The sequence below is a fragment of the Homo sapiens genome, chromosome 17 (assembly GCF_000001405.40).
Source record: "Homo sapiens chromosome 17, GRCh38.p14 Primary Assembly".
Taxonomy (NCBI): Eukaryota; Metazoa; Chordata; class Mammalia; order Primates; family Hominidae; genus Homo; species Homo sapiens.
The window spans coordinates 66,073,235-66,100,879 of record NC_000017.11 but is presented as its reverse complement, the minus strand read 5'-3'; the positions used below and the strand labels follow the sequence as shown (position 1 = coordinate 66,100,879).

Below are 27,645 nucleotides of genomic sequence, written 5' to 3'. Positions count from 1 at the left end.
AGTACCTAATACAATATAAATGATATGGAAATAGTTGTTATACTGTACTGTTTTCTTGTTTTCTAATTATTACTTTGAATATTTTCAGTTTGGTTGGTTGAATATGTAGATGTAGAAGCCATGAATATGGAGGGCCATCTGTTTATGTTTCAGTCGATGGTCTTAGGTCAGTTTTCCAAGGTAAAGAGTGAGAGTATTTAATATGATTCAGGTATTATTTTATTTAAGAATATTTTCTTAATAATTTAAAATATTTAGTTGCATTTATTTTATTTTTTTCAGGGAATCCAATTATACATTTATTGTATTCTTGTTTCTCATTTTCTTTATCCATTTCTCTTGGATCCTTTTTAAACACGTTTTTATGTCAGTTTTATTTCCTGGTTTTTGGCTTCAGGTCCTATCTTTATCTCTTGCTGTTACTATAGTTATCTTTTCTCTCTTGGACAACTCTTTTTTTTTTTTTTTTTCTGTTTTTTGAGACGGGAATCTCACTCTGTTGTCCAGGCTGGAGTGCAGTGGCGTGATCTTGGCTCACTGCAAGCTCCGCCTCCAGGGTTCATGCCATTCTCCTGCCTCAGCCTCCCGAGTAGCTGGGACTACAGGCTGCCACCACCACGCCCATCTAATTTTTTTGTATTTTTAGTAGAGATGGGGTTTCACTGTGTTAGCCAGGATGGTCTCGATCTCCTGACCTTGTGATCCGCCCACCTCGGTTACAGGCATGAGCCACCATGTCCAGCCTCTCTCTTGTACAACTCTTAATTTAGTCTTCATTTCTTGGATGATTTTTGTTACTCTTCCATGTTTTTTTTTCCTGAATCTAGTCACCTCCTATTTAACATCTTTGTATTTTTGTCTTTATTTTGATTTGTAGTATTTTTATGCCTGAAGTTATTTAAAAGTTATATTTGAATACCTGTTGTCCTAGTGGTGGTGGAACAAAAATATTATTAAGTATTGACATGTAGGAGAGCGTCCTATTTTAAGTGGGTTGCACAAAAACCCTGGTGTATGAGAGTGGGGAGATATGGGAATCAAAAGGAAGCCTGTATTACTGTTTTCCTGTATTTTAGCTTTTTAAAAAAGTGTTTCCTTCTGCTGGCAGGTTTTGATTTTGGTCTTCTATTTTATATAGTAAGTTTTTGTGGATATTGGATTCTTTTTTTCTGTTCATGATTATCTGTTAGATTTTTCTGAACAAGTAATAGCCAGTGATTGTGTGGGAAGTGGTAGTGGGTGGCTTACTTTATTTCTTAGTTCTGGACAGCCCTCCTCCTCTGCTACACTGAAGTTTAACTTCTTTAACAAATGGTGCCTTTTGTGGTTGTCAGCCTGGCTTGTCTTCTTTATTCTTTTTTTTTTTTTTTTTTTTGAGACAGAGTTTCATTCTTGTCACCCAGGCTGGAGTGCAGTGGCATGATCTCAGCTCACTGCAACCTCCACCTCTTGGGTTCAAGAGGTTCTCCTGCCTCAGCCTCCTGAATAGCTGGGATTATAGTCACCTGCCACTAAGCCCAGCCAATTTTTGTATTTTTAGTAGAGACGGGGTTTCACCATGTTGGCCAGGCTGGTCTTGAACTCCTGACTGCAGGTGATCTGCCTGCCTTGGCCTCCCAAAATGCTGGGATTACAGGCAAGAGCCACAGCTCCTGGCCATGGCTTGTCTTCTTTTGATTCTTTGATTCTGTCTTGTTTCTGCAGGGCCCTTATCTTCAGCTGCTTTTTTATCTCCCTTTATCATGAACAACCTTCCTTCAAAGGTGCTTCTCTCTACCTCAGAAGTGATTCCTTCCTAGAACTGCCTTTCTGGTTCTTCATAGTTTCCAAGCCCCTTGTTTTGTGCCCATCTCTGGCACTCTGAGCCATTAAGTTTTTTTGTGTGGCCCACTTAAGGTAGGCCACTTTTCTTTGACAGGTCAGTATTTGATGATATTTAGTTCCACCACTACTAGGACCCTGAGGTACTTCCTTTTTTCCCCATGCTACCACTCTGGCTCAGGATCTAATTCTGCTGATTTGGTATCTTTATTTGGCCACCTACATGTTAATCCAGGGATTTGTATTCCCTTTCTCCTTTTTATGATGTAGTCATGGATGATGGGCATTTTTATTTGGTCTCTTTATCAATCTGTATGTGTCTTTGGAGGATGGGGAGAGACATTTAAATTCATACAGTTGCCATTACTTTATAGGATCTGGCGTCCACACGAAAGAAAATTGTTTTGTGTATTTCCTTTAACCTAGATGCTAAAATAATTATACTTTATATCCTGTCTATTGCTATATTCCTTTTAAGTTTTACTTGATTGGATTCTATTATAAATGTTATGACTTCTACATTTTTTGATTAATTGATTCTTCATTCACCGTTATCTTTATTGTCAAATTGGGTATGGATTGTTCATTTTCAAGAGTTATTAACCGTAATAAATCGTTTGGGGAACTTTTTGAAAACACAATGGGATTTTGGAGAACTAGAATCCAATAATTTATATTTGAAATGTTTATCACTTGATCCTCATAGTACACTCCAGGATGTTAAAAGAAAAACCTTAAAGAAATTAAATTGAACAGAGTTTAGTAGGCAAAGAATGATTCATGGATCAGGCAGCCCCTGAATCATAATAGGTTCAGAGAGGCTGCAGCACTACTGGATGATTGAAGATTTATGGACAGAAGAAGGATAGTGATGTACACAAAATGGAAGCGAGGTACAGAAACAGCAGGATTGGTTACAGCTCTGCGTTTGCCTTATTTGAATCTGGTTTGAACGATTGATTGCCTTTAATTGCCAAAACTCAGTGAGTGGCACAAGAGTAAGCTGTAGTCTGTTTACACATCCAGTTAGGTTACAGTTCACCATGAATGGAGAAACCTTTAGGCTGAATTAAAAATATGTGAGGAGGCAGCTTTAGATGAATCTTAATTTAACAAGTGTAAGAACCACTACCCTAGGTTGAAGTGATAGTTTGTGTTCTTGTACTTTGTGAGATTATCCATGTAGTAATTTGTGGGTTTGTGATATGAAGAAATTAGACTTTCACGGTAGAGATTTTTAATTATCACTTTATTTGTGAGTGAAATAGTAGAGATAACTATCAATATGTCTACTTTATCATATAGTATATTCATGCAATAAATACTTTATTGAAAGGCTACTATACATTAGATATTGTGCTAGGTCCCAGAGATACAAAACTGAGAAGATGTCATCCCAGTACTCCTTCTGTTCAAAGACAGATGTGGAGACATACTGATAAACACTCAAAGTATTACATAAGGGCTATGAGAGAGTGGACATAGGATACTTTAGGAGCTGATAAGAAGGTGGAATCAGGTACAGGTTACTCCTTTCTTTCCTCTTGTTTCTTCCTTCTTTCTGAAGAAATATTAATTGGGCACTGAGTTGGGTGCTAGGGATAGAGTGGTGAACAGGGCAGTCATGGTCTCTGCTTTCAGAGTCCACACTGTTTTGAAACAGGGAGATGCCAGATTGTAAAAGGGAACTAGCATCCAGGGTACTACTGGAGTAGTAGGAACTAGGTTTCCTGGGGGAGATGATTTTTAAACTACAAGTCTTGAGTAAGTTAACCATGTGTAGAAGTTGGGGGAATGATCTTACAGGTTGCAAAGACTCAGACATGGGAGACAGTATAGTGCTTTTAAGTTAAAACAAATTGTCTGGTGTCCTTGGAATGTGGGGTATGGTGAAGATAGATGAATCTGAAAGGGAGATTTAGGGGGAGTCCCAAAGGAATTTTGTGTTCTCTTTGCTATTAGAAAGGTATGTTTAAGAATTCATGTACCAAATACATCTGGGAGTGCAGTGATTAAATTGCGACTGTAAGAACAAATAGGTGTGTGCTTACAGGGTTTGGAGGGCTGGGCAGAGAAATTCAGAGGTGGACAGGCATGAGAACATCTGCCATGTTCTGGTAATATAAATCATTGTGGATCCTGGGAGCATAAAATGTGAAGTGAAGGGTAATGGAAGATGAGAGTGGGCAGTTAGGCAGTGAGAGGATCATGAAGGTTCATTTTGGCATGCAAGGGAGTTTATGTTTTATATTTTACTTGTAGGGAGCCGCTAAAAATATATCATACAATACCCATTCTAAAAATGAATTAAATATTAAGAATCTAGAAAATGTTTCATATGGCAGCTTAATTCTATATTTTATCAAATAATAATTAAAACTCCAAAATTAATAAATCCTTATTTTGTTTTATTTTTAAATTTTCAGATAGAAAATCCTCGATACCTGAGACAGAAGCCTATCCCAGTTTCTCTGGTATGTGAGAAATCCATTGGACTTTTTCTAGGGGCAGGTATTTTAAAATAAAATAATCACTAAGTTATTTATAGAAAATAATGCGGATCTACATTAGGAAACATAATAGTTTTTGAATTTTATCACTTGGAAGTGATTTTTTCCTGCAGTGTTAGTACTATTTTGGTACGGGCCTCAGGCAATTTAGAAGTTTTCTTTGGGGTTAAGGATAAACCAGATCTGAAAACATGTTAAATAACTCCTGTTCATTTAGCAGATGACACCGAAATTCAGCCTGAGAAAATCCAGCAGTTTCCATGATGATCATTTTCTCTCTCGAATACGTGAGAAAGAGGTAGGAATGAGATATTGCTGATAAACCCATTGATAATACAGTTTTAATATTTTATGTAATCTAGGTTTTCAGGTTTTAGTTAAAATAATGGTATATTCTAGGAAGAGGTTGCACTTGAAACAAATATAAAACATGATGCATGGTAGGCAGGGTTCATCTTTCTGTTTTGTTTTTTGTTTTTGTTTTTCCAGAGATAGAGTCTCTATCTTTTGTCCGGCTGGAGTGCAGTGGTGTGATCAGAGCTCACTGGGATCAAGCAGTCCTCCCACCTCAGCCTCCTGAGTAGCCAGGACTACAGCTGTGCCACCATGTCCAGCTAATTAAAATTTTTTTTTTTTGGTAGAGATGGGATCTTACTGTTTTTCCCAGGCTGGTCTTGAGCTGTTGGCCTCAAGTGATCCTCCTCCTACCTTGACTTCTCAAAGCATTAGGATTATAGGCATGAGCCACCACACCTGGACAAAATTGTAGATGTTTATTGTGTACAACATGATGTTTTGAAATATGTATACATTGTCAAATGGCTAAATTGAGCTTGATATATGAATCACCTCACAGACTTATCATTATTTTTTGTAATGAGAATACTTAAAATGTACTCTCATAGTGATTTTTGAAATACAATCCATTGTTATTAACTAAAGTCACTATGCTGTACAATAGATCTCTAGAACTTATTTCTCTCATCTAACTTAAATTTTGTATCCTTTGACCAGTATCTCCCAACTCCACTCCTTGTCGCCTGGCCTCATAACCACCATTTCTCTACTTTTGTGAGTTCACCTTTTTTAGAATCCACATATAAGTGAGATCATGTGGTATTTGCCTTTCTGTGCCTGGCTTATTTCACTTAACATCGTGTTCTCTAGGTTCATCCATGTTGTACTAAATGACAAGATTTCCTTCTTTTTAAAAACTGAATAACATTTCATTGTGTGTGTGTGTGTATGTGTGTGTGTGTATGTGTATATATATATCACATTTTTTTCATTTATTTGTTGATGGACACTTTATATTGATTCTATATCTTGGCTATTGCTGCAGTGAACATGGGGGTGCAGATAGCTCTTCAATATAGCAATTTCATTTCCTTTGGATTTATACCTAATAGTGAGATTGCTGGATCATGTAGTAGTTCTATTTTTAATTTTTCAAGGAACCCTCGTACTGTTTTTCTATAATGGCTGCACTAATCTACATTACTGCCAACACTGGGCAAGGGTTCTTTTTTCTCCACATCCCCTCCAATACTGATCTTTTTTCTTTTTGTTGATAGCCGTTCTAATAGGTGTGACGTGATATCTCAGTATTGTTTTAGTCAGCATTTCTCTGATGATTAGGATTGTTGGGCAGTTTTTCATATATCTGGTGGCTATTTGCGTGTCTTCTTTTGAGGAATGTCTATTCAGATCCTTTGCCCATTTTAAAATCAGGTTATCAGTGTTCTTACCATTGAGTTGTTTGAGTTCCATATATATTTTGGATGTTAACCCCTTATTAGATATATGGCTTGCAGATATTTTTCTCATTGTGTAGGCTGTCTTTTTACTCTGTTGATTGTTTCCTTTGCTATGCAGAAGCTTTTTAGTTTGATATAATCTCATTTGTCTATTTTTTCTTTTGTTGACTATGCTTTTCGGTTCATATCCAAAACATCATTGCCCAGAGCAATGTCATGGAGCTTTTCCCCTATTTCTCTTATAGTAGTTTTAAAATGTCAGGTCTCACATTTAAGTCTCTGTTTTAAATTGATTTTTGTATATGGTGTGAGATAAGGGTCTAATTTCATTCTTCTGCATGTTGGATATCCAGTTTTCCAAGCATCATTTATTGAAGACACTGTCTTTCCCCATTGTGTGTTCTTGGCATCTTTGTCAAAAATCAGTTGACCTGGCCAAGCATGGTGGCTCACGCCTGTAATTGAGCACTTTGGGAGGCTGAGGTGGGCGGATCACTTGAGATTAGGAGTTTGAGACCAGCCTGGCCAACATGGTGAAACCCCATCCCTACTAAAAATACGAAAATTAGCCGGGTGTGGTAGGGCATGCCTGTAATCCCAGCTACTCAGGAGGCTGAGGCGGGAGAATCGCTTGAACCTGGGAGGCAGAGGTTGCAGTGAGCCAAGATTGTGTCACCGAACTCCTGCCTGGGTGACAGAGCAAGACTCCATCTCAAAATAAATAAATAAATAAAAATAATAATAATGAAAATCAGTTGACACTAAATGTATGGGTTTATTTCTGGGTTCCCTGTTCTGTTTCATTAGGTCTGTGTGTCTGGTTTATGCCAGTTACTGTGCTCTTTTGATTGCTGTAGCTTTATAGTGTATTTTGAAGTCAGGTAGTGTGATGCCTTCACCTTTGTTCATTTTGCTCAAAATTGCCTTGGATACTCAGGGTCTTTTTAGTTTCATATAAATTTTAGGGTTTTCTTTATATCTGTGAAAAATGCCATTGGAATTTTGATAGGGATTGCATGAAATATATAGATTGCTTTGGATAGCATGGACATTTTAACCATTATTAGTTCTTCCAGTTCATGAACATGAGATATCTTTCCATTTATTTGTATCTTCTTTAATTTCTTTTATCAGTGTTTTACAGTTTTCATTATACTGGTCTTTAATCTCCTTGATCAAATTTATTTCTAAGTGGTTTTTTTTTTTTGGTACCTAGTAAGAGAGGGATTGTTTTCTTGATTTTGTATAGTTCATTGTCAGTGTATAAAATGGCTACTGATTTTTGTATGTTGATTTTGTATTCTGCAACTTTAGTGAATTCATTTATTAGTTCCAGCATTTTGGTGGAGTCTTTAAAAATTTTTTTTTTACATATAAGATCATATCGTCTGTAAATAGAGACCATTTCACTCGTTCCTTTCCAATTTGGATACAATTTATTTATTTATTTAGGAGACAGTCATGCTCTGTTGCTTAGGCTGGAGTACAGTGGTGCAATCTCAGCTCACTGCAGCCTACGTCTCACGGGTTCAAGCAATTCTCCTGCCTTAGCCTCCCCAGTAGCTGGCATTACAGGCATTTGCCACTGTGTGCCATATATATATATAATTTTATTTTTTTGGTAGAGACAAGGTTTCACCATGTTGTCCAGGCTTGTCTTGAATTCCTGACCTCAAGTAATCTGCCTGCCTCAGCGCCCCAAAGTGCTGGGATTGATTACAGGCATGAGCCACTGTGCCTGGCCACCCTTTTATTTATTTCCCTTGTGTAATACTCTGGCTAGGACCACCAGTACTATGTTGAAAAGAAGTAGTGAGAGTGGACATCTTTGTCTCATTTCTGATCTTAGAGGAAAAGCTTTCAGTTTTTCACTGTTGAATATATTGTTATCAATGGGTTTTTCATGTATGGCCTTTATTGTATTGAGGTACATTTCTTCTATACCTAATTTGTTGTTTTTATTATGAAAATATGTTGAATTTTGTAAATGCTTTTTCCACATCTACTGAGATGATTATATGGTTTTTATCCTTCATTCTGTTAATTGGTGTACAACATGTATAGATTTGCATATGTTAAAGTATCTTTATATTCTTGGGATGAATTCCACTTGATCATGGTGAATGCTCTTCTGAGTGTGCTGTTGAATTCAGTTGGCTAATATTTTGTTGAGGACTTTTGCATCTATCTTCATCCTTAATATTGGCCTATAATTTTCCTTTCTTGTTGTTTTCTTGTGTAGTTTTGGTGTCAGTGTAAAGTTGGCCTCATAATATGAGTTTGGAAGTATTCTGTTTTTTTTGGAAGAGTTTGAGGAGGATTGGTATTAGGTCTTTCAATGTTTGGTAGAATTCAACAGTGAAGCCATCAGGTCCTGGGCATATGTTGTGTGTGTGTGTATCTGTGTGTGTGTGTGTGTGTGTGTGTGTGTGTGTTTAAATTAATGCTTCAAGGCCGGACTCGGTGGCTCACACCTGTAATCCCAGCACTTTGGGAGGCTGAGGTGGGCAGATAACCCGAGGTCAGCAGTTTGAGATTAGCCTTGCCAACATGGTGAAACCCCATCTCTATGAAAAATACAAAAATTAGTTGGGTGTGGTGGTGTGCACCTGTAATCCCAGCTACTTGGGAGGCTGAGGCAGGAGAATCGCTTGAACCTGGGAGGTGGGGGTTGCAGTGAGAAGATCGCACTACTGCACTCCAGCCTGGGTGATAGAGCAAGACTCCCATCTCAAAAAAAAAAAAAAGTAAATACATAAATTAATGCTTCAGTCACCTTACTTATTATTGATTTCTTCAGCTTTTTTATTTCTTCATGATTCAGTCATCATACGTTCTGTGTGTCCAGGAATTTATTCCTTTCTTGTAGGCTATCTAATTTGTTGACGTATAATTACTCATAGTAGTCTTTCATGATCCTTTGTATATCTGTGGCATCAATTCTAACATCTCTTTCATTTCTTATTTTACTTATTTGTCTTCTCTTATTTTTTTCTTAGTCTAGCTAAAGTTTTGTCAATTTTGTTTATCTTTTCAAATAACTAACTCTTAATTTTACTGACCTTTTCTATTGTTTTTCTAGTCTATATTTCATTTATTTCTGCTCTGATCTTTATGATTTCCTTCCTTCCGTGAACTTTGGACTTAGATTGTTCTTTTAGAAGTTATTTAGGTGTAACATTAACTTGTTTATTTGAGATCTCCTGTTTTGATGTAGGCATTTATTGCTATTCACTTCTTTCTTAGAACTGCTTTTGCTGTATCCCATAAGTTTTTGTATGTTGTGTTTTTATTTTCATTTGTCTGTAGATATTTTTAAATTTCTCTTTTAATTTCTTCTTTGACATAGTAGCTGTTCAAGAGTGTGTTATTTAATTTCCATGTATTTGTCAATTTTCTGAAATTCCTCTTGTTACTGATTTCTAGTATTAAACATGTGGTCAGAAAAGATACTTGATATGATTTCAGTCTTCTTAAATTTGTGAAGATTTCTTTTGTGAACTAACATATGATCTATGCTGAAGAATATTTCACATTTGGTTGAGAAGAATGTGTATTCTGTGGCCACTGAATGGTACATTTTGTATATCTGTATATCTCTTTTAGGTTTATTTGCACTAAAGAATAGACCAAATCTGATGTTTCCTTATTAATTTTCTTTCTGGGTAACCCGTCCGTTGCTGAAATTGTGGTCTTAAAGTCCCCTACTATTATTGTATTACACTCCTTCTCTCCTTTTATATCTATGAATATTTGCTTTATATATTTAGGTGATGTTACTTTGGGGGCATATATATTTATAATTGGTATATCCTTTTGATGACTTGAGCCCTTTGTCACTGTATAATGACCTGTATCTCATTTTATAATTTTGATTTTAAGTCAGTGTTATCTGATGTATTTCTACCCTCGCTCTTTCCATTTCCGTTTGCATGAGATATCTTTTCCTCTTCCTTCACTTTCAGTCTATGTAGGTTCTTAAACATGAAATGAATTTCTTATAGGAAGCATATAGTTGAATTTTGTTTTAATCCATTCAGTTATTCTGTCTTTTGATTAGAGAATTTAATCCATTTGTATTCAACATAAGTATTCATAAGTAAAGACTTGCTACTTCTGTTTTGTAATTTGTTTTCTGGTTGTTTTATAGAACATTTGTTCCTTTCCGTCTTGTTATCTTTCTTTGTGATTTGATGAATTTCTGTAGTGGTATGCTTTGAATCCTTTCTTTTTATGTTTCGTGCAACTATTGTAGGTTTTTGCTTTGTGATTACTACGAGGCTTACATAAAACATCTTATTTTCATGACAGGCTATTTTAAACTGATAATAACCTTGATTTATCACATATAAAAACTACATTTTACTCTGTTTCATTTTTTGATGACACAATTTACATCTTTTTATATTGTATAGAAAGAAATTATTGTGGCTATTATATTTAAATAATATAATATCTTCATACTAAAGATATAAGTCATTTCCACAACATTATATTATTAGACTATTCTGTGTTTGATTGTTTCCTTACTTTTACTGGTGAGTTTTATCCTTATATATGTATTTTTTGTTATTCATTAGTGTCTTCTTCTTTGAGCATCAAGATTTCACTTGAGCATTTTTGTAAGACAAGTCTAGTGGTCATGAACTCCCTAAGGCTTTTTTGTGTCTTGGTACATTTTTAACTTTTCTTTATTTCTGAAAGACTGCTTTGCCACTCACAATATTCTTGGTTGGCAGTTATTGTCTTTCAGTACTTGGAATATATCATCCTACTCTTTTCTGGACTGTAAGATTTCCTCCATGAAATCCGCTGCTAGTCTTATTGGAAGTCTCTTGTATATAATTTGCTTTTCTCTTGATATTTTCAGAATCTTCCATTTGTTCTTTATATTTGACAGTTTGATTATAACATGGCTTGGTATAGTCTTGCTTGAATTAAATCAGATTGGAGACTTTTGACCTTTTTGTACCAGGATATATATATCTTTCCCTCAATTTGGAAAGTTTTTAGCTATTATTTGTTTAAATAAACTTTCTACACCTTTGTCTCTCTTTTTCTTCTTTAGCTCCTATAACTTGAATATTTTCTCTTTTGATCCTGTCCCATACGTCCTGTAAACTTTCGTCATTCCTTTCCAGTCTTTTTCCTTTTTCTTCTCTGACTGCATATTTTCTAATAACCTGTATATTTGAGTTTACTGAATTTTTTCTTTTGCTTGATCAATTCAGTTGTGAATGCTGTTATATTTTTCTTTTCATTCGTTATATTTTGCAGCTCCAGAATTTGATTTTTTAAAAAATTTCTCTGTTAAATTTCTCATTTTATACACTTACTGTTTTTCTGATTTCAATAAATTATTTCTCTGTATTTTCTTGAAGCTCACTAAGCTTCCTTAAAACAATTAGTGTGAATTATTTGTCAGGCAGTTTATATATTTTCATTTCTTTGGGGTCAGCTATTGGGAGATTATTTTCTTTTGCTGGGGTTATGTCTCCTTGGTTTTTTATGTTGCTTGTTGCTTTATGTTGGTGTCTGCACATTTGAAGAAGTAGGAAATTATTATAGTCTTTGTAGACTGGCTTCATTTGAGAAAGCCAGTCATCATTGAGCCTATCCAGAGATTCTGGGCAGGCTGTTTGGCCTATTGGTGGGCTCTCTCCTACAGTCCCCAGGCAGGGTCAGAAAGTGGGTGGGCCTGGTATCTTGGTCCTCATGTTTGAGCTTGGAGCCTGGATCCACTGGGTAGATGTGTTGCTTTGGTCCATGGGAGTGAGCTTGGAGTTTGGGTCTGCATGGTAAGCCTGAAATATGTATCCACCAGGGCTAGCCTGAAGCCTAGGTCTGCAAGGGCTGACCTGGTTCTAGGGTGGGTTTAAGCCTGAATCTGCAGGGGCCAGACAGGTTCTGGGATGGACCTGGTTCTTTGGTCCACTGGGACAGGCCAGGGGCCTGAGTGTGCAGGGGTGGGCCTGGGTCACGATTCTGTAGGGATGGACCTGGAATCTTATTTTCTGAGGGCTGGCTTGGCACCACAGTTTATTGGGATGAGCCTGGACCCTGGGTCTGTTAGTCAGGTCTAGACCCTGAGTCTCCTGGTGTATGGGACCACAGGGGTTAATATGGAGATTGGGGCCCCAGTGGCCGACCTGGAGTCTGGGCCAGAGGTGTTGACTGGGAGGTTGGGTGGGTCTAAAGCATGGGGTTGTGTTGGCTGACCTGGCTCTGAATCCTGCGTTATGCTTGGAGCCTGGGGCCAGATGGGCTGGCCTGACATTGGGTATGTCTGGAGCCTATATTCACATGGGCCAGCATGGAGGCTGAGTCTGTGAGTGCTGGCCTGATGACTAGGGATTCTGGAGGCTGGCCTGGTTCCTGGGTAGGCCTGAAACCTGAAGTTGTCGGGGCCAGCCTCGTGCTGTGAATAGTCTGGAGCCCAAGGTCACTGGGCCCGCCTGGCAATGTGGTGAGTCCAGAGACTGAGTCTGCTGGGCTGGCTTTGGAACCTGGGGCTGTGGGATCTTGCATTGTGCCAAATTAGGCCTAGAGGCTCAGTCTGTGGGTACTGGCCTGGAGTCTTGGGTCTTGGGAGCTGACCTGGAGCCTGGGGCTACAGAGGCTAGCCAGGAACCTTAGTCTGTAGGGGCTGGTCTGGCTCTGGGGTGGAGCTGAAGTTTAGGCTGCTGGGGTCAGTCCAGCACTAGGGTTAGTTTGGATGCTGTGGCTGCTGGTATCAGCATGGGGTGGGGTGAGGTGGACCCAGGGACTAAATCTACTGGGCCAGTCTGGAGCCTGGGGCTGTGAGATTTTTCCTTGTACCAGGGTGGATTTGCAGGGTCAGTCCTGGGGTACTGGCTGGGAGTCTAGGGCTGAGGAGTCCTGCCTGATCCTACGTTTTACTGGGACTGACCTGGTATTGAGGTCTGAGGTAAAGTCTAGTGCTCACCTTTCTTCCCTCCTCCCAAGTGGAGGGTCTCTCCACGCTTTACTGTCTGGAGTTGGGGGAGGGGTGATGTGAGTATTTTAAAACCTGCAGCCTCGGACTTCTGAGTAAAACTGTCCTTTCTACATTCTGCGTTATGTCTTTTCCTATTTCGTGCTGTAATATTTCACCTTGTTTACTTAGCTCTTATGAAGGTATTTTTGTGCATGTTTATGTTCAAATTGATTTTTCTGTGGAGGGACGAGGGCTTGAAAGTCCTAGTCTGCCATCTTGCTGACATTAGACTCAGGCTTTTCTTTCTTGTATAATCCTGGTGTTACAAAAACTGTTGAAATAAAAACAAATGACATTTTAAAAAGCATATTTGTCCTTTGAGCTCTTGTTTTGAATTTCTTTTTCTAAAAATTGTCATTCATGAATTATAAAAATCATTTTGAGTCATTCCCAACTATTTTTTCTTTTAATTTTATTTTGTATTAATTCTTACTGTTGAGACTGCTTACCATAAATAATTAAATGAATTGAAAGGAAATCATCACTTAAAAATTTTGTTGATGACAACTTGGGGCAGGAGTCAGCATACCAATGCCACCCACATATGTTTTCAAAGAAAAAACATTTAAAGCTATCATGCATTGCATCAGAAATTCATTTTTAAATGTGTTTGACTTTATTTTTTCCTAAATCCTTATGTTTCTGTTTTTCTTTTGGGCATACTATAAAAATATTTGAGGCATCATTGAGAAGTTTGCATGTAATCATAAACTTATTCCATATATTAAAATATATTCAGTGTACATTTTTCTAAAATAATCCTTTGTGCAATTACAGTCATTTCTGACTTATTTTGATGAAGTTTTTTTATCATATTTTTCTCCATTGCACAATATTTAAAAGTATCTGCTGATTTGCCCCTGTGTAAAAACTATCTTAGTTTCATCTATCTTTTAAAGTAGCATGTCTGATTATAAAATAAATTATGTAGATTTTTATTAAAGACATTTTGGGAAATAGAGACATATGTAAGGAGGGAAATAAAATCACCTATAGAATCAACACCTAGAAATAAAAAATACTGGTAATATATTTACGTTTTTTTTTCTTTTCTCTATGTGTTCTATAAACATATGTTTTCCTTAAGAAAATTGGTATGGCCAGGCACGGTGGCTCACGCCTGTAATCCCAGCACTTTAGGTGGGCAGATCACGAGGTCAGGAAATTGAGACCATCCTGGCTAAAATGGTGAAACCCCGTCTCTGCTAAAAAAAATACAAAAAATTACTCGGGCATGGTGGCGGGTGCCTGTAGTTCCAGCTACTCAGGAGGCTGAGGCAGGAGAGTGGCATGACCCCGGGAGGCAGACCTTGCAGTGAGCCGAGATCACGCCACTGCACTCCAGCCTGGGTGACAGCACAAGACTCCTTCTCAAAAAAAAAAAAAAAAAAAAAAAAAAAAAAAAAAAAAAAAAGAAAAGAAAATCTTATGTCTACTTGCTTAAATCCCTTTTATTCAACATTTAATTGTTGGCATGAGGATAAATGCTGTTCTGTTTCGAAGTTTGTTAGAGCCTTACATGTCCCTATAAAACAACTCTTGTGCATGTTCTCATCTAAAAATGCCTTTATTGTTGCTGGGTAATATTTTTAAAACAATAAATAGCATTCTTTTAAGTGAGTCAACTTTATTTAAAATTAAATATTAGCTCTCAAGTATTTAATCATCCCTTTCTCAACTCATTCTTCAGAGATAATTATTGCTGAAAATTTAATGGGTATTCTCTTTAAAATTCTCTAGGATTATTTCTTTTTAAGTAAAATTAGATCATATACTGTATATAGACCATTTCATTGCTTTTTTTTTTTTTTTTTTGAGACGGAGTCTCGCTCTGTCGTCACCCAGGCTGGAGTAGAGTGGCGTAGTTTCAGCTCACCGCAACCTCCACCTCCCGGATTTAAGCAATTCTCCTACCTCAGCCTCCTGAGTAGCTGGGATTACAGGTGTGCGCCACCATGCCCGGCTATTTTTTGTATCTTTAGTAGAGACGGGGTTTCACCAGGTTGGTCAGGCTGGTCTCAAACTCCTGACCTCGTGATCCGCCTGCCTCGGCCTCCCAAAGTGCTGGGATTACAGGCGTGAGCCACCGTGCTCAGCCCATTTCATTGCTTTTTGACTGACATATATATTCTGATGATTTTTTCCATATCAGAAATATCACCCCATTCTTATTCATAATTACATAAATTTTACTTTACTGATACATCATGTTTTATGAATATAATTTGCTATTGATGCATGTAGGCTGTTTAGAGTATTTTTCTATAACAAATGGTATTTCAAGAATACCCCTATGCATATCTTTGTGTATTATGTGTCTTTTCTTGCAGAATAAATGATGTGAAATGGAATGGCTCAGTCACAGGATGGCACATTTGCATTTTAGATTGACGTTGACAAGTTGTCCTTAAAATAAGGTTATGTCTGCATAGGGCTGCAGGCATGGGAGTGTATGGAGTATTGGCTAGTGGATATAGAGTTTCTTTTTAGGATGATTAAAATGTTCTAAAATTAGATTGTGCTAACGGTTGTATAACTCTCTGTTATATTAAAAACCTTTGATTTGTATTGTGTAAATGTGTGAATTTTATGATATATAAATTATATTTCAGTAAAACTTAAGAAGGGTTATGTCTATTTAAGTTAACATTAATGGTATAGAGAATGCCTCTTTTTCCATTTTGTTATTAACACTCGAGCAATTTGCATGTTAAAGTATCACTTCTTTTTTGTATGTCTTACAAATATTTTTCTCTGTGAATATCTTTTGATTTGTGCTACTTTTTAGTGTAGAGAAGGTTTCTTCTATTTTTAACTTTTTAAAATTAATTTTGAATTTTTGTGCGTACATAGTAGGTGTATATATTTGTGGGTTACATGATATAGTTTGATACAGGCCTGCAATGCATAATAATCACATCAGGGTAAATGGGGTATCCATCATCTTAAGCATTTATCCTTTGTGTTACAAACAATCTATACTCATTTAGTTGTTTTAAAATGTACAATTAAATTTTTTTTTTGACTGTAGTCACCTTATTGTTCCAGCAAATTATAGGTTTCTTCGTTCTTTCTACTTTTTATACCCATTAACCATCCCAACTCCCCCCCTGCCTTCCCACTACCCTTTCCAGCCCCTAATAACCATCATTCTACTCTCTATCTCCATGAGTTCAATTGTTTTTAATTTTTAGCTCCCACAAATAAGTGAGAACATATGAAGTTTGTCTTTCTGTGCTTGGCTTATTTCACTGAACATAGTAACCTCCAGTTCCATCCATGTTGTTGGAAATGACAGGATCTCATTCTTTTTAATAGCTGGGTAGTACTCCATTGTGTATGTGTACCACATTTTCCTTATCCATTCATCCGCTGATGGATACTTAGCTTGCTTCTAAATCTTCACTATTGTTATTAGTGCTGCAATAAACATGGGAGTGCAAATATCTCTTCAATATGCTGATTTTCTTTTTTTGGAGTATATACCTTGGAGTGGGATTGGTGGATTGGTAGTTCTATTTTTATTTTCTTTTGAGGAACCTCCAAACTGTTTTCCATTGTGGTTGTATTAATTTACATTCCCACCAACCCAGTGTACAAGGGTTCTCTTTTTTCCACATCATTGCCAGCATTTGTTATTACCTATCTTTTGGATAAAAGGCATTTTAACTGGACTGAAATGATATCTCCTGGTAGTTTTGATATGCATGAGAAGTTTCCTTTTAAATAGTTGCATCTGTCAGCCTTTTCTCTAGGCTTCTGGTTTTTGTATTATGCTTACAAAAGCCTTTCACCTTCCAACATAACAAAAAATTACCTCTTTTTTGTCTATTTAAAAATTTTATTTTTCTATTTAAATATTAGATCTCTTTCAGAGGTTTTGCTGTAAATACTGATAGTAATCTATGTTAGTTCTTTTTTTGTTGTTTTGTCTTTGGACATGGAGTCTCGCTCAGTCACCCAGGCTGGAGTGTGGAGTGCAGTGGCACAATCTTGGCTCACTGCAACCTCTGCCTCCCAGGTTCGAGCAATTCTCCTGCCTCAGCCTCCCGAGTAGCTGGAACTACAGGCACTCACCACCACGCCTGGCTAATTTTTTTGTATTTACAGTAGAGACGGGGTTTCACCGTGTTGCCCGGGCTGGTTTCGAACTCCTGAGCTCAGGCAGTCTGCCCACCTTGGCCTCCCAAAGTGCTAGAATTACAGGCGTGAGCCACCGCGCCTGACCTCATTAGTCAGTTCTTAATGGTATAAAATAAAAATTTAGGAGTTTGAAATACTTATATTAAAGGATCCAGTAAGTCTGGAGATAATTAATTGATACCAATTTTTTACAGATTATAGAGTTTATCTGTGTCATTGTATTAGTCCGTTCTCATGCTGCTAATAAAGACATACCCAAGACTGGGTAATTTATAACGAAAAAGAGGTTTAATGGACTCACAGTTCTGTATGGCTGGGAGGCCTCACAATCATGGCAGAAGGCAAAAGAGGAGCAAAAGCACATCTTACATGGTGGCAGGCAAGAGAGCATGTGCAGGGAAACTGCCCTTTATAAAACCATCAGATCTCATGAGACTTATTCACTATCATGAGAACAGCACGAGGAAAATCCTTCCCCATGATTCAATTACCTCTCACTGGGTCCCTCTCACAACACATTGGAATGATGGTAGCTACAGTTCAAGATGATATTTGGGTGAGGACACAGCCAAACCATATCAGTCATGAAGGATTTATTAAAGTATTTAATTTTGTTGAAGTTTTAGTGAGTCTTAAAATATTTAGCCTTTAGAAATGGAGCTATTTAATAAAATACAACTTCCATTTTAAATTCATATTGTTCAGAAGATACTTAGATGTTAACATGAGTAAAATATGTAAAATTACTAATAGAATTAATGGTTATTTAACCTAATTTACTAATTAATATTAATATTAATATTAATATCTAGTTTTATTGGAGTTAAAGAATTATAGTGGTTTGTTTTGGTGGCTACAGATACACATATAAAAATTTTTTTTTTTTTTTGAGACAGAGTCTCGCTCTGTCGCCCAGGCTGGAGTACGATGGTGCAGTCTTGGCTTACTGCAACCTCTGTCTCCTGGGTTCAAGCAATTCTTGTTCCTCAGCCTCCCAAGTAGCTGGGATTACAGGCACACGCCATGACATCTGGCTAATTTTTATGTTTTTAGTAGAGACAGGGTTTTGCCATGTTGGCCAGGCTGGTCTCGAACTCCTGACCTAAAGTGATCCACTGCTTCTGCCTCCCAAAGTGCTAGGATTATAGGCATGAGGCACCGCACCTGACCCACATATTAAATATTTTAAGATGTTCTTAACAATTTTCAATTTATTTTGGGCATATTTCTCATATGTTATGGGAAAACATGTTCAGTGACAGTGATCCTTTATTTTAACTTTAGCCTATCATTCACAAACATACTTGGACTTGCTTGCCTTTGTAATTGCTAACACATTTTCTCTGATATCCACATCACAGAATTGTGTGACAGTGAGCATCATCAAGCAACGGGTCTTTCTTTCTTTCTTTCTTTTTTTAGTAATCTGAAGAAAGGCTTTTTGACATTATGACATTTGGAAAAGTTTTCTCACTGAAAATGAAAGAACAGACAACACAACAAGAAGAGGTCAATTTTTCAGAGAACAGATGGTAGAAATTGCTCCTTTGGTAAAAGGCGAAAGATTTATACAATCTGAAGAGAAACCGGAGTAAAAAATTACTCTTTTTGTGAAATAAAATAGAAAATTTCCTTTGACCTTTCTTTTCACCCATATTGAATGTTTCCATCTATTGCCTAAAAAGAGATGTTGCTTCTTTATTATGTGTAATGCCAAGTAGGCCTTTTTTTCCCCCTGAGATGGAGTCTTGCTCTGTTGCCAAGGCTGGAATGCAGTGGCGCAATCTCGGCTCACCATAATCTCTGTCTCCTGGGTTCAAGCGATTCTCCTGCCTCAGCCTCCCGAGTAGCTGGGACTACAGATGCGTGCCACCATGTCCGGCTAATTTTTGTATTTTTAGTAGAGACAGGGTTTCACCATGTTGGCCAGGCTGGTCTTGAACTCCTGACCTTGTGATCCACCTGCCTCGGCCTCCCGGAGTGCTGGGATTACAGGCGTGAGCCACTGCGCTTGGAATTAGGCCTTTTTTTTTTTTTGTCTGTGAGTCTGCTAGTCAAATATATAATTTAAATAACTCTAGGATAAAGAAAGCCACAGTTATTGACATAATAAATGACAGAACTGTTATAGATTTCATATGAAACATAGCATTCAGATATGCATAATGTCACATAATTTGATAAATAATTGTACAAAGAAATGCCATTGTAAATGCCACCCAGGCAAGAATTAGATAATTGCCAATATCCTAAGAAGCCTGCTGTCTGACCATTTGTAATCATATTCTCTTCCATCTTTCCTAGAAGTAACCACTATTCTGATTTTTCTGATGATAATTTTCACCTATTTGTTTTAATATTGATTTTAGCATTAATACCTGCATCTTTGAAAATTGAAATATTTTTATTTTACCAGATTTTGAACTTTATATGAAGAGAACTAAACTTTTTATTTATTTTTATTTTTTATTTTATTTTACTTTTTCTTTTATTATACTTTAAGTTCTGGGATACATGTGCAGAACGTACAGGTTTGTTACATAGGTATACACTTGCCATGGTGATTTGCTGCACCCATCAACCTGTCATCTACATGAGGTATTTCTCCTAATGCTATCCCTCCCCTAGCCCCCTACCCCCTGACAGTCCCCAGTGTGTGATGTTCCTCTCGCTGTGTCCATGTGTTCTCATTGTTCAACTCCCACTTATGAGTAAGAACATGCAGTATTTGGTTTTCTGTTCTTGTGTTAGTTTGCTGAGAATGATGGTTTCTAGCTTCATCCATGTCCCTGCAAAGGACACGAACTTATCCTTTTTTATGGCTGCATAGTATTCCATGGTGTATATGTGCCACATTTTCTTTATTCAGTCTATCATTGATGGGCATTTGGGTTGGTTCTAAGTCTTTGCTATTGTGAACAGTGCTGCAATAAACATACATGTTCGTGTGTCTTTATAGTAGAATGATTTATAATCCTTTGGGTATATACCCAGTAATGGGAATGCTGGGTCAAATGGTATTTCTGGTTCTAGATCCTTGAGGAATCTCCACACTGTCTTCCATAATGGTTGAACTAATTTACACTCCCACCAACAGCGTAAAAGTGTCCCTATTTCTCCACATCCTCCCAGCATCTGTTGTTTCCTGACTTTTTAATGATGGCCATTCTAACTGGTGTGAGGTGGTATCTCCTTGTAGTTTTAATTTGCATTTCTCTAATGACCAGTGATGATGAGCTTTTCTTCGTATGTTTGTTGGCCGTATAAACGTCTTCTTTTGAGAAGTGTCTGTTTCTATCCTTCACCCACTTTTTGATGGGGTTGTTTGTTTTTTTTCTTGTAAATTTGTAAAGTTGTTCCTTGTAGATTCTGGATATTAGCCCTTTGTCAGATGGATAGATTGCAAAAATTTTCTGCCCTTCTGTAGGTTGCCTGTTCACTCCGATGATAGTTTCTTTTGCTGGGCAGAAGCTCTTTAGTTTAATTAGATCCCATTTGTCAATTTTGGCTTTTGTTTCCATTGTTTTTGGTGTTTTAGTCATGAGGTCTTTGCCCATGTCTATATCCTGAATGGTATTGCCTAGGTTTTCTTCTAGGGTTTTTATGGTTTTAGATCTTATGTTTAAGTCTTTAATCCATCTTGAGTTAATTTTTATATGAGGTGTTAGGAAGGAGTCCAGTTTCATTTTTCTACCTATGGCTAGCCAGTTTTCCCAACACCATTTATTAAATAGGGAATCCTTTCCCCATTGTTTGTTTTTTTCGGGTTTGTCAAAGATCAGATGGTTGTAGATGTGTGGCGTTATTTCTGAGGCCTCTGTTCTGTTCCGTTGATCTATATACCTGTTTTGGTACCAGGAACATGCCGTTCTGGTTATGTAGCCTTGTAGCATAGTTTGAAGTCAGGTAGCCATGATGCCTCCAGCCTTGTTCTTTTTGCTTAGGATTGTCTTGGCTGTATGGGCTCTTCTTTGGTTGCATATGAAATTTAAAGTAGTTTTTTCTAATTCTGTGAAAAAAAAGTCAATGGTAGCTTGATGGGGATAGCATTGAATCTATAAATTACTTTGGGCAGTATGGCTATTTTCACAATATTCATTCTTCCTATCCATGAGCATGGAATGTTTTTTCATTTGTTTGTGTTCAAAGAGAACTAAACTTTTCATATTCTTTTATGTCTTGCTTCTTTTGCTCAATAGTATGTTAGAGGCATTGTTGTGCCATATAGTTGTAATAGGTTTGTTTGCACTGTTTTCTATTTAATGAATGTCATATTTCTTGCCTTTTTTGATAAACTTTATTCTAATTTTTTGCCTTTACAAATAATAATTCTATGAATAACCTTGTGTGTGTATCCTGATATACATATGCAAGAGTAGAAACGGGGTTTTACCATGTTGATCAGGCTGGTCTCGAACTACTGACCTCAGGTGATCCACCCATTTCAGCCTCCCAAAGTGTTGGGATTATAGGCATGAGCCACTGTGCCCCGCAGCATTCCTTTTTCTTAGCAGCCTTGCCAGTATGTTAAGTATTATTATTATTATTTTTGTCCTTTTAGTAATAGCCATTCTTACTGGTGTGAAATTGCATCTCATTGTGGTTTTGATTTGCATTTCTCTGATGATTAGTGATGTTTCATATGTTCGTTGGCCCCTCGTATGTTTCAGCAGAAATCCTACAAGCTAGAAGGGATTGGGGCCCTATCTTCAGCCTCCTCAAACAAAACAATTATCAGCCAAGAATTTTGTATCCAGTGAAACTAAGCGTCATATATGAAAGACAAGTACAGTCTTTTTCAGACAAACAAATGCTGAGAGAATTTGCCACTACCAAGCCACCACTACAAGAAGTGCTAAAAGGAGCTCTAAATCTTGAAACAAATCCTAGAAACATATCAAAACAGAATCTCTTTAAAGCATAAATCACACAGGACCTGTAAAACAAAAATACAAGTTAAAAAACAAAAACAAAAATTAAAAAAAACCCAAAGTATGCAGGCAACAAAGAGCATGATGAATGCAATGGTACCTCACATTTCAATACTAACATTGCATGTAAATGGCCTAAATGCTCCACATAAAAGATATAAAACTTCCCGAGCACAGTGGCTCACGCCTGTAATCCCAGCACTTTGGGAGGCTGAGGCAGGTGGATCATGAGGTCAGGAGTTCAAGACCATCATGGCCAATCTGATGAAACCCCGTCTCTACTAAAAATACAAAAATTAGCCGGGCGTGGTGGCGCATGTCTGTAGTCCCAGCTACTTGGGAGGCTGAGGCAGGAGAATCCCTTGAACCAGGAATGCAGAGTTGCAGTGAGCTGAGATCGTGTCACTGCACTTCAGCATGGGAACAGAGTGAGACTCCGTCTCAAAAAAAAAAAAAAGAAAAAGAAAAGAAAAGAAAAAAAAAAGATACAAAAGCACAGAATAGAGCAGAATAGAGGACCTAGAAATAAACCCAAATACTTACAGCCCACTGATCTTCAACAAAGCAAACAAAAACATAAAGTGGGGAAAGGGGCACCCTTTTCAACAAATGGTGCTGTGATAATTGGCTAGCCACATGTAGGAGAATGAAACTGGAACCTCTTCTCTCACCTTATATGAAAATCAATGAAGATGGATTAAGGACTTAATGTAAGAACTGAAACTATAAAAATTCTAGAAGATAACATTGGAAAATCCCTTCTAGACATTGGCTTAGGCAAGGATTTCATGAACAAGAACCCCAAAAACAAAGATAAATGGTTGGGACTTAATTAAACTAAAGAGCTTTTGCACGGTAAAAGGAACAGTCAGCAGGGTAAACAGACAACCCACAGAGTGGGAGAAAATCTTCATAATCTATACATCTGACAATGGACTAATAACCAGAATATACAACTTGATGACAGTGTGCCTAGGTGATGATCTTTTTGTGATTAATTTCCCAAGTGTTCTTTGTGCTTCTTGTATTTGGATGTCCAGGTCTCTAGAAAGGCCAGGGAAGTTTTCCTCAATTATTCCCCCAAATATGTTTTCCACACTTTTAGATTTCTCTTCTTCCTCAGGAATACCGATTGTTCTTAGGTTTGGTTGTTTCACATAATCCCAGGCTTCTTGGAGCCTTTGTTCATATTTTCTTATTCTTTTTTCTTTGTCTTTGTTGGATTGGGTTAATTAGAAGACCTTGTCGTCAAGCTCTGAGTTTCTTTCTTCTTTTTGTTCAATTCTATTCTATTGCTGAGACTTTGCAGAGCATTTTGCATTTCTCTAAGTGTGTCCAATGTTTTCCTGAAGTTTTGATTGTTTTTTCTTTATGCTATCTATTTCCTTAAATATTTCTCCCTTCACTTCTTGTATCGTTTTTTTGGATTTCCTTGAATTGGGCTTCACCTTTCTCTGATGCCTCCCTGATTGGCTTAATAAGTAACCTCCTGAATTCTTTTTCAGGTAAATCAGGGATTTCTTCTTGGTTTGGATCCATTGCTGGTGAGCTAGTGTGATTTTTTTGATGGGTGTTAAAGAGCCTTGTTTTGTCATATTATCAGAGTTGATTTTCTGATTCCTTCTCATTTGGGTAGGCTCTGAGAAAAGTCTAGGACTGAAGGCTGTTGTTCAGATTCTTTTTTCCCACGGGGTATTCCCTTGATGTAGTATTCTCCCCCTTTTCCTACGGATGTGGTTTCCTGTGAGCTGAGCTGCAAGTGATGGTTATCTCTCTTCTGGGTCTAGCCACCCAGCGAGTCTACCTGGCTCCGGGCTGGTACTGGGGGTTGTCTGCACAGAGTCCTGTGATGTGAACTATGAATTGCTCAGCCATGGATACCAGCACCTGTTCTGGTAGAGGTGGCATGAGGGTGAAATGGACTCTGTGAGGGTTCTTAGCTTTAGTGGTTTACAGTTCTATTTTTGTGCTGGTTGGCCTCCTGCCAGAGGGTGACACTTTCCAGAGAGCATCAGCTGTGGTACTATGGAGAGGAACCAGTGGTGGACGTGGCCCTAGAACTCCCAAGAGTATGTGCCCTTTGTCTTCAGCTACCAGTGTGGATAGGGAAGGCCCAGCAGGTGGGGGCAGGGCTAGGCATGTCTGAGCTCAGACTCTCCTTGGGCAGCTCTTACTGTGGCTGCTGTGGGGGATAGGGGTGAGGTTCCCAGGTCAATGGAGTTGTGTACCTAGGAGGAATATGGCTGCCTCTGCTGAGTCATGCAGGTTGTCAGGGAAGTGAGGGAAGGCTGGCAGTCACAGCTCTCACCCAGCTCCCACACAGTCTTCAGGGCTGGTCTCACCCCCACCATGTCCCCCTAGCAGCCCCGAGTCTATTTCCAGGCAGTGGGTGAGCAGGGCTGGAGAACTTGCCCCAGGCTACCTAGTTCCCAGCTGCAAAAGAAGAGGGCTTTGGTTCTTACCCCGCCGCCTGTGGAGTCTGCACACTGGGTTTGCACCTTTCTCTGAGTTCTGGCCCAGAGCCTTCTCGCCCAGTTCAAATTGTTACAAAGTTCAGCTGGAGACTTCCTTCTCTCTGTGGTATTTCCCCCTATGCCTCTAGCTGCCCTCGCAAAAGGTCCCTGTGGTACCAGGCAGGAATGGCCTGCTTGGGGACCCAGCGAGCTCCCAGGGCCTTTCCTACTACTTCCTCTACCCCTGTATTTCACTCAGCCCTCTAAATTGACCCAGCTGTGGGTAAGGTCGGAAATGTCTCCTGCAAACCAGACCTTGAGTTTTCCCAGTGGGGGTGTGTGTTTGGGAATGGAGGGTCTCCCTTTCCCACTTCTGCAGTTTGGGAACTCACAGTATTTGGGGTGTCTCCCGCGTCCTGCAGGAGCAGTCCTCTTCCTTCAGAGGGTCTGGGGGTCCCCTCGGGGTTCCTGGTTCATTCTTGCAGTCATTCTTGAGCTAAAATTCATGATGCAAGCCTCTGCACACTGCTCTGTCTGTCCGAGTTGGAGCTGCAATCTAGTCCTCATGCCTCTCATCCACCATAATGATTCCCATTCAAGATCCCATTGCTAATTTTTTAACAGTCTCTTATAATTAGAGTGTTTAGTCCATTTAAATTTAATATAGTTACTGATCGATATGGTTAGGTTTAATCTACCTTGTTGGTGTTCGTTTCCACTGGTACCCCCTTTTTTTATTTTTCACTACTCTGTTGCTCCTTTCTTGCCTTATTTTTAGTTATTTTTTTGTTATTCTATTTTAATTTTTCTATTGACTTCTTGGCTATACTTTCCCTTTGTATGTTTTCTTTATTGGTTGCTTTTGGGCTAAAATTATGCATCCTTACCATATCAAAGTCAATTTTTAGTGTCAATATTGTGCCGCTTACACTGGACTTTTCCCATTTTCTAATTTCCACCTCATAAATCTAATAACTTTAAAACAGTATAATCTAATTTAACCCTACAATCACTTGTGCTATTGTCATAGTTCTAAATACCTTATGAAACCTAACTTTTGAGGTTGTTGTATTATCTTTAAATAGTTGTGTTTTGGGGAATTGTGAGAAGATAAAAATGGCTTTTATGTATCTCTGCTCACATACTATTTCTAGTACTTTCCTTCATTTCAGAGTTTCTAAGTTTTCATCTTTAAGAATACCTTTTACTATTTGTTTTAGTGCAGTTCTACTGGTGATGAGTTAAGTCATCTGAATTTTTCTTTTAGCACTTCTAAGATGTTATTCCTTTGTCCTCTGGTTTCCATTGTTTCTGTTGGGGAGCCTGTTGTTTCTCTGAATGTAATGCCTGTTTTCCTCTGGCTGCTTTTAAGATTTTTCTTTTTTTTTTTTTTTCTTTTTTTTTTTTAGACAGAGCCTCACTCTGTCACCAGGCTTGAGTGCAGTGGCACGATCTTGGCTCACTGCAACCTCTGCCTCCTGGGTTCAAGCAATTCTCCTGCCTCAGCCTCCTGAGTACCTGAGACTACAGGCACGTGCCACCACGCCCAGCTAATTTTTGTATTTTTAGTAGAGACGGGGTTTCACCATGTTGGCCAGGATGGCCTCGAACTCTTGACCTTGTGATCTGCCTGCCTTGGCCTCCCAAAGTGCTGGGATTACAGGTGTGAGCCACCATGCCCAGCCAAGATTTTTCTTTTTGTTTTTGTTTTTCAGCAGTTTGTGATGTTTCTAGGCGTTGTTTTCTTGCATTTATCCTGCATAGAGTTCATTGAGCATCTTGTTCTCTAAGTCAGTATTTTTATATTTTATCAAACTTGGGAAATTTTTGGCCATTATTTCTTTAAATAATCTTTCCCTATTCTTATTTGCTTCTATAGGAACCCCAATTACATGTATATTAGACTCTTGGATTTTGTTTCACAGTTTCCAAAGTGTTATTGATTTTTAAAAATCAATTCTTCAATCTTTTTTTCTGTCAGATAATTTCTCTTGTTCTGTCATCAAATTTACAGACTCCTTTATCTGTTCTCTCTAATCCATTAAGCTCATCTAGTGAATTTTTGTTCCTTTGAATTATTGCACTTTTCGATTCTGGAATTTTCATTTGTTTCCTTTTTATAATTTCCATCTATCTGCTGAGATCCCTTATCCGTTCTTTCATTAAAATAATATTTTCCTTTAATTTTTGAATATGTTTTCCTTTAGTTCTTTGAAGGTATTTATATGAACTTCTTTAAACTGTGGTGTGCTGAAGTAGAGTCATCTTGGGCCTTATTAACTTATTTATTTATATTGATTTTGCCTAAGGACAAAATTTTCTTTTCTTTTTTATTTTTTTGGTGCATCTTTATTACTTTCTAGATAAAGGACCTTGTGGTTGATACCTTGTAGGGACTCTGGATTCTGTTATTTTTCTCCATAGAATTTTTTTGTTGTTGTTGTTCTTATAGGCTGTTCAATTACTAGTTAATCACCTTTAAGTTGTGTAGACTTGGTTTTTACATTCTGTTAAGGCAAATACATAGAAAGCCAAAGATATTATCCAACACCATGGGACCTGTCTTACAAACTATCTTTCTGAGGCTTGCTTTCAGTCCTTGTAGGTAGGTTTAGAGTAGTCCTAAGGTGTGGCCTTTATGTTGTTTCAGCTGAATTCCCAGGTATTTGCAAGTTGTTAGGAAGCTGTCTCCACCTGGCTGGGCAGGTCTTTGGTGCTTCCCAGCACTTTAACCTGTAGCAGCTGTTACATTTTCTACTTTGTAGCAGTAATGTTTTGTTATTCACCCAGGGTGCACACATCCCAGCCATCAGCCTGTGGTTGAGGAGTGACAGGGAAATCTTCTGGGAAGCTTATACCTCTTTTAGTACCCTGCATTTAAGATTCTTTAACTGCTCAGAACTCTGACCTCTGCTTTCTCAGCTCAGTAGGCCTGTGGTGCTCCACATGGACTCCAGTTGTTGTACCCAGGCGGAAAGTTGGGACTATCGTGGTCTTCAATTCTTGAGGATCACAGTACTGCATTACCTATTG

At 38.0% G+C, this 27,645-nt stretch overlaps 1 protein-coding gene across 18 annotated transcripts in view; it reads left to right on the top strand.

The window, feature by feature from the left end:
* Positions 1–27,645, top strand: part of CEP112 (centrosomal protein 112) — a 556,597-nt gene that overhangs the window by 91,254 nt on the left and 437,698 nt on the right. For 10 of the 18 annotated variants that reach the window (XR_007065281.1, XR_007065280.1, XR_007065282.1 and 7 more), the window contains 2 exons: positions 4,248–4,295; positions 4,549–4,629. The exons of 2 other annotated variants lie outside the window; for them this stretch is intronic. Coding sequence is in view for 13 of the 16 variants with exons in the window: in XM_047435528.1 (XP_047291484.1) it covers positions 4,248–4,295; positions 4,549–4,629 (129 nt within the window). In the remaining 3 variants the exon portion in view is untranslated. The remainder of the gene's footprint in view (positions 1–4,247; positions 4,296–4,548; positions 4,630–27,645) is intronic. 6 more of the 18 variants (XM_047435529.1, NM_001199165.4, XM_047435530.1 and 3 more) reach the window with 1 other exon arrangement.